We start from the raw sequence: 8,197 nt of genomic DNA on the forward strand, positions 1-8,197 counted from the left end.
ATATTTGAATGAACAGTTTTGACTAACAGCCTGAAAATATTAATCTTTCCTCTCAGTCTGAGCAAGCGAAAGTAGATAAATTCATATTGTATGTCTGATTCTCTTTGGGTTTGAAAAGAAATAAAGACTCTACTTCTAAATTAGCATAGAAAAAAGGAGAATTTCTCTTGATTTATTTCTCAGTTTGGGTTTGTGCTTTTGAAAAAGGAAAAGAATGATCCTGAAATCAGTAGGCTTTGTCTTTGCCAAAAAATGTGGACATGTTGATCTTAGGGGGGCTGATTATATAAAACAGTAGAAATGTAGTCTTAGATGAAAATCTGTAAAGATGTAAGAATGCTGAACTAACATGAAAATCAGGGGCTGAGAAAATGCTGGATTGAGAATAATGTGCTAATGAAGGTTTTATATATATTCATATATTCTCTTCAACATACATAATGTCATAAAAAGGATAAAACGCCTAAGTCTAGTCTTGACAGAGCACCAGCTTAAATCACATGAGCCTATCAGAGAACTTATGACAATATTTAGGGCTAAACTGATGTTACTGGTGAACCAGTATCTGGAATGATTTCCATAACTCACTTAACTTGCACATTTATAATGTGGACTTTAAATAATAATTATCAGGATGGCTACTCTGAAGCCAGGAGCTTAGGAAGTGTCACAGATGGTATATATTTGTATTCCTGCCTCATGTCCCTTTCCCTGAAGTGGCGTGTGGAGTATGAGGGATTACGGTGTATTTGTAGGTGGTGTCCCTGAAAGGCTATCAGGGGACTTCTGGTTCTGCTTCAGTTCTGTTTTGTGAAGACGGTCAAGTGATTTAAGGTCTCTTGCTTCAGCCATCCCACTTAGAAAGCAGTTGCTTTATAGTCCTTTGGGTATATACCCAGTAATGGGATGGCTGGCTCAAATGGTATTTCTAGTTCTAGATCCCTGAGGAATCGCCACACTGACTTCCACAATGGTTGAACTAGTTTACAGTCCCACCAACAGTGTAAAAGTGTTCCTATTTCTCCACATCCTCTCCAGAACCTGTTGTTTCCTGACTTTTTAATGATTGCCATTCTAACCGGTGTGAGATGGTATCTCATTGTGGTTTTGATTTGCATTTCTCTGATGGCCAGTGATGATGAGCATTTTTTCATGTGTTTTTTGGCTGCATAAATGTCTTCTTTTGCGAAGTATATACCCAAAGGACTATAAATCATGCTGCTATAAAGACACATGCACACGTATGTTTATTGCGGCACTATTCACAATAGCAAAGACTTGGAACCAACCCAAATGCCCAACAATGATAGACTGGATTAAGAAAATGTGGCACATATACCCCGTGGAATACTATGCAGCCATAAAAAATGATGAGTTCATGTCCTTTGTAGGGACGTGGATGAAATTGGAAATCATTCTCAGTAAACTATCGCAAGAACAAAAAACCAAACACCACATATTCTCACTCATAGGTGGGAATTGAACAATGAGATCACATGGACACAGGAAGGGGAACATCACACTCTGGGGACTGTTGTGGGGTGGGGAGAGGGGGGAGGGATAGCATTGGGAGATATACCTAATGCTAGATGATGAGTTAGTGGGTGCAACGCACCAGCATGGCACATGTATACATATGTAACTAACCTGCACAATGTGCACATGTACCCTAAAACTTAAAGTATAATAATAAAAGAAAAAAAAGAAAAAATAAATAAACTTATTGATCATCTATGTGCTAGGCATATTCTCTGTTTGTATATATTGGAACATGAACCTTCCAGGTCCTTGAAAATGTGGTGGGTACTAAATGAAATGTTTCCAGTTGTGATTCTTTTTTTTTTGAGACGGAGTCTTGCTCTGTCGCCAGACTGGAGTGCAGTGGCGCAATCTTGGCTCACTGCAACCTCCACCTCCCTGGTTCAAGAGATTCTCCTGCCTCAGCCTCCCGAGTAGCTGGGACTACAGGCATGCGCCACCACGCCCAACCAATTTTTGTATTTTTAGTTGAGATGGGGTTTCACCATGTTGGCCAGGATGGTCTTAATCTCGTGATCCGCCCGCCTCGGCCTTCCAAAGTGCTAGGATTACAGGTGTGAGCCATGACTCCCAGGAGAAATAACTTTAAAAACTTAAAAACATTGGGCTGGGTATGGTGGCTCATGCCTGTAATCCCTGTAATCCCAGCACTTTGGGAGGCTGAGGCAGGCGGATCACCTGAGGTCAGGAGTTTGAGATCAGCCTGACCAACATAGTGAAACCCTGTCTCTACTAAAAATACAAAAATCAGCTGGGCGTGTTGGTGCATGCCTGTAATCCCAGCTACTCGGGAGGCTGAGGCAGGAAAATCGGTTGAAACCGGGAGGCAGAGGTTGCAGTGAGCCGAGATCTTGCCACTGTACTCCACCCTGGGCAACAGAGCGAGACTCCATCTCAAAACAAAAACAAAAACAGAAACAAAAAATTAAAAACATTATACAAATGTAAACTGCAATGATGACAAGAAAGAAGAATGTGGACTCCATATGAAATTCCCTCTTGGTATCTGCACTAGAACATCTCTACTTTTCTTAAACCTCAAACTTTGCTCATCTCTTTGACCCTTAGTCTCTACAGAGGATCTGTTCTCCTACTCTCCAAAATTGTTCAAGATCATCTGATGAGTGGCCTCAATTTATTTTCAGATGTGCATGTGCTTTACTTGGGGTTTTGTTTTGTTTTGGTTTTTAGTTCAGTTTTTTTTTATTGGGGTTCAAATATGAGACAGTCTTGGGGAACCTAGTAGGGAAAATCTGAAAGCAAATACAGTGCCATACTGAGAATTGTACAATATGTGTGTGTGTGTGTATATATATATATATATATATATATATATATATATATATATATATATATAAAAGAAACAATACAGAAACTTCATTCTGCTATCACAAAGCCTTCAAAGAAATGACGATTGATGCCTTAGTGAGGTTCACTAGAAGGGAAAAAGTTGGCAGATGTTTCCCACAGAAGGAAAAGCATGAGCAAAATTCTGGAGACTTGCCATAGCTTCTTATGCTTCTGGAGGCAGTATGGCTTCAGGGTTTGGATGTCAGCAATCCCTGAAACCATGTTTCACAAGTCTCCAGATACCAATTTTTTCATTAATAAAGTATAATAATTCATATCTCATGGGGCTGTTAAACAAGAACATAAAGTACTCAGCTGTATGGTAAGAGCTCAACAAAGCTTAGCCATCATTATTATTACTAGCCTGGCATGAATGAAGTTAAGGAATGGTGGTGGGTGATGAGTGTGGGAGAAATCAGAGGTTACATCATAAAAGGCTTTGATGGCCACATTAGGAGTATGGATCTTATCTCCTAAAGGTATTGCAAAGCTTCTTAAATGGCTCTGTCATGGTGCGATTAAATTTATGTCTTGGAAAGGTCACATTGGTCATGGTATGCACATGTGGTTTTTGCCTATTCAGTTAAAAGCTCCTTAAAGCTTTTTATGCCACCACAGTCTTATGCACCTAAGAGGCTACATTATTTGCCAATTTGTTGTTGTTGAATTATCTATTTCAGAACTACTCTGAATTATTAGGTTGAGATTGAATGAGAGGAGCAGGACTGGAAGTGGAGAGGACATTTAGAAAGTTTCCTCGGTAATCCAGACAGTAGATGGTGGTGACCTCAACAATTGCCCAGTTACCTTCAGGACAAAGTCCAAGTTCCTTATAATGGTATACAAAGCTGGCACAATCAGACCCCTATTCTCAAAACAGCTTACCTCTCACTTGTCTTCTCACTTGCTCCAATTATGTACAATTATTTAAAGTTTTTGAAATACTCCTTTCCCTGTGTCTTCCCTCCATAGTTTCTCCTTCTGTATAGAATATTTCCTTTCCCTATCCACTTTCTACCTATTTATTCTACCTCCTATTCATCCTTCAAAGCTCAGCTCAGATTTCACTTCCTCTAGGAAACCTTCAATGGCATTATCTTAGTCTTTTTGGGCTGCTATAACAAAACACCATAAACTGGGTGGCTTATAAACAACGGAAATGTATTTCTCACAGTTTTGGAGGCTGGGAAGTCCTAGATCAAATCACTGACAGGTCCAATGTCTGGTGAAGGTTCACACTCTGGCTCATAACGGTGCATTCCCACTATATCCTCACATGGTAGAATGGGCTAACTAGCTCTCTGAGGTCTCTTTTACAAGCGTATTAATCCCATTTATGAGGGCTCCATCTCCAATGTCTATGATTTAATCACCTCCTAATGGCTCCACCTCATAATACTTCTGGAGGCAGAAGTATTAACCTTAAGGGTTAAGATTTCAACATATAAACTGGTGGGGGAGGGAGGTGGGGATGGGACACAAACATTCAGACCACAGCAGACAACTTGCTCTTTTAATGTGGAATGGATGACCCTCCAATATTTCCCCAGAGCACCCCATGCTCTTCTATCAGGGAACTTATTAAAATCATGTAACATGTTTCTTGGTGACAAGATTTAGGTCTTTTGTTTCTGTAACACATGCCAGATACTTAGCCCGGTATCTGGCATGTGGCATGCCCAGTAAATGTTTGCTGAATAAGTGAATCCATGTCTCTTGCTTGCCGCTATTTGCCCACTGAATCCATGAAGTGAGTTTTCATAATGGATACCACTGAAAATTCAACCCTGAAAAGAATGTCTTCGGTTGTGGGCCCATAAAGTCTTAGAAATAGTGAAGCTCCTACTGTCAGTCCTTGAAAGGGAACAGGACAGCTGCTGTATGCCTTGAGAATGGGCAAAAGACAAGCGACAAAAAGAGCACCGAAGGCACCTACTTGTCCCTCTGGGCCAGGGCCTCAGTGTATTGGTCGGGCTTGACCTGGTCTCCTGGTACATCTTCCCAGTTTTTGGTGACTCCCTTCAGTTTCTCTGAGAGCTCCAGGTTACACTCCTTCTCTGCTTCCACCAGAGCTGCCATCCGCGCAGCTTCATTCTTTGCTAGCCTGGATTCCTGGAAAAAGAACAAAAACTGAGAGGCTGCAAAATTTCTACCTAGATTAGGAGCCCTAAGACCCAGGAACATTGATGAATTTCAGAGGGAAAGTAGAGACGGAAAAGGTGAATGCCAGAAGGCAGAGCAGTAGGAAAAGGAGTGTTAATAAAAGAGAACCCGTACCTATGGACTTTGGGAACTCCTCACCTCCTGCAGAAGCTGCATCTTATTCTCCAAGAGCTCATAAACATGCTCCGTCTCCTGCTGTCGCTCCTCAAACTGGCGTCGGAGCTCAGCTTCATTCTGACTGTTGAGATTCTCCACATCAGCCCTAAAACCACAGAGCATTAGCCAATCAGAGCCAGACATACAGTTTAGCAAGTGGAACCATTAAGGTTGTTCTTTGATAAATCTCCAAACTGCTTTCTGCAGTGACTGAACTGGTTTATATTTCCACCAACAGCGTGTAAGCATTCCCATTATGCAGCCTCACCGGCATCTGTTGTTTTTAGACGTTTTAATAGTAGCCATTCTGACTGGTGTGAGATGGTATCTCATTGTGGTTTTGATTTATATTTCTCTGATGATTAGTGATGTGGAGCAATTTTTCATATATTTGGTGGGCATTTGTATGTCTTCTTTTGAAAAGTGTTTGATCATGCCTTTTGCTCATTTTTTTAATGGGGTTATTTGTTTTTCATTGTTCAATTGTTAAATTCCTTATGGATTCTGGATATTAGACCCTTTTCAGATGCTAGTTGCAAATTTTTTTAGATTCTACAGGTTGTCTGTTTACTCTGTTGATAGTTTCTTTTGCTGTGCAAAACTCTTTAGTTTAAATAAATCCGACTTGTCTCTTTTTGTTTTTGTTGCAATTGCTTTTGAGGACTTAGTCATAAATTCCTGAGGCCAATGTCCAGAATGGTGTTTCTTGGGTTTTCTTCTAGGATTCTTATAGTTTGAGGTCTTACATTTACATCTTTACTCCATCTTGAGTTAATTTTTATATGTGCTGAAAGGTAGGGGCCCAGTTTCATTCTTTTGCATATGGCTAGCCAGTTATCTATCCCACCACCATCGAATAGGGGAGTGCTTTCCCCACTGCTTATTTTTGTTGATTTTGTCGAAGATCAGATTGCTGTAGGTGTGTAGCTTTATTTTTGGGTTCTCTATTTGCTTCCATTGGTCTATGTGTCTTTTTTTTTTTCCAGCAACATGCTGTTTTGGCAACTGTAGCCTTGTAGTATAGTTTGAAGTTGGATAGTGTGATGCCTCTGGCTTTGATCTTGGTCATTTGATGAATGACATTGGTAGTTTGATAGGAATAGTGTTGAATCTGTAGATTACTTTGGGCAGTATGGCCATTTTAATGATATTGATTCTTCCAATCCATGAGCATGGAATGTTTTTCCATTTGTTTGTGTCATTTATGATTTCTTTTAGCAGTGTTTCATAGTTCTCCTTGTAGAGATCTTTCACCTCCTTGGTTAGATGTATTCCAAGGTATTTTTTTTTTAGCGGATATTGTAAATGGGATTGCATTCTTGATTTGGCTCTCAGCTTGAATGTTATTGGTGTGTAGAAATGCTACTGATTTTTTTTTTTTTTTTTTTTTGAGACGGAGTCTGGCTCTGTCGCCCAGGCTGGAGTGCAGTGATATGATCTCGGCTCACTGCAAGCTCCGCCTCCCGGGTTCACGCCATTCTCCTGCCTCAGCCTCCCAAGTAGCTGGGACAACAGGCGACTGCCACCACACCCGGCTAATTTTTTTTTTTTTGTATTTTTAGTAGAGACGGTGTTCACCGTGTTAGCCAGGATGGTCTCGATCTCCTGACCTCGTGATCCACCCACCTCGGCCTCCCAAATTGCTGGGATTACAGGCGTGAGCCACCGTGCCTGGTGAAATGCTACTGATTTTTGTACATTAATTTTTGTATTCTGAAACTTTATTGAAGTCTGAAAATATTTTTAATAATTTTAGTAATACTTGTCATTTAACACTAAGCTTTTAAAAAACTGTAAATTACAAAAGTAACCATTTTAGCAATATAAATATATATAAAGAAAAATATCAAGTCTTCTCCCTATCACGGACTGTGATCTCACTCTTCCTCAATATACTATAATTATCACTCAGCAACTTTCCCCCCTTACTTTAATCAAGGAATTCCCACTAGGACAATAATATAGAGCTAACTCATTCTTCAATAACTACATAATAGTCCACAGTGTAGTAATACCAAAATTTATTCAATCAATGCCCTATTGATGGATAATTGTTTCTAGTTTTTTGCCATTACAACTAATGATGCAATAAACATCCTTATACATTTATCCTTTCACACTAACGCTTTTATTTATAAGAAACAGATTCCTTCTCGGGATTGTTTGATCAAAGGAAATCCTCCTTTTTTACTATAATAGGTAGCATCCCATACTAAAAATGTTGTCACAATTTACACTCACTGGTAGTGTATGAGAGTGCCCATTTTCCCCAAACGTTATCTCAGCTCTTGATGTTATTATAGGCTGACTGATACTTTTTGATAAAGCTTATTTGCATTTGTCTCTACTGAAAGTGGAAACATTCACTGTTTCAATTTAGTTGATTGCTGACTAATAGGAAGTTTGCAATCTTAGGTCTGGTGGATTTACCAACTTATGACAAGGTCCATCTGACCTAGTAATAGAGAGAGAGCCCAAGGGAAACACAGCATATGAAAATCTATTGTTTCAGTTCCTGAATCAGACACAGGATTCAAATGCCACAGATAGGTTAAGGAATTTGGTTCCAAATCTATTGCTCTCAGATTAGTAAGACAGACTCTGGAAAGGACCAGAGCTTAAAATTACAACTTACCATGTTTTATCCAGATGCTGTTTCTTGTCCTGGAGTTCTCGTTTCAAGCTCTCCACTTCAACCTTCAGCTCAGTGTTCTGAAAAACACACAGGCATTAATCGTTATTAACTGCCACAGACACTCTTTCCTGGATCCAGGTTCCTATTTGAGTCTTGCCTTGGTCCACAGCCTCTCACCTCATCTCTGCCCTCTTTGTGACCCTTGACATAATTAGGGATTTAGTTGGATCAGCAATCTAGTCAAGGAAGAATAAACTGTACAGCTTCAGGGTTTCCCCTGAGCTACTTATCAATTTTCCCAACCTATTTATCATTACCCCTGGATCATGAACACTGCTTAAGTCTATTCGTTCT

The 8,197-nt window shown here is 39.9% G+C and overlaps 1 pseudogene across 1 annotated transcript; it reads right to left on the minus strand.

Moving 5' to 3' along the window:
* Positions 1-4,388: 4,388 nt before the first annotated feature.
* On the minus strand, positions 4,389-7,976 carry LOC653513 (phosphodiesterase 4D interacting protein-like; annotated as a pseudogene). Its single transcript, NR_037182.1, is given in 3 exon segments — positions 4,389-5,001; positions 5,191-5,314; positions 7,844-7,976. The product of NR_037182.1 is annotated as a phosphodiesterase 4D interacting protein-like (transcript).
* Positions 7,977-8,197: the final 221 nt, after the last annotated feature.

Source organism: Homo sapiens, chromosome 1 (assembly GCF_000001405.40).
Source record: "Homo sapiens chromosome 1, GRCh38.p14 Primary Assembly".
Classification (NCBI taxonomy): domain Eukaryota; kingdom Metazoa; phylum Chordata; class Mammalia; order Primates; family Hominidae; genus Homo; species Homo sapiens.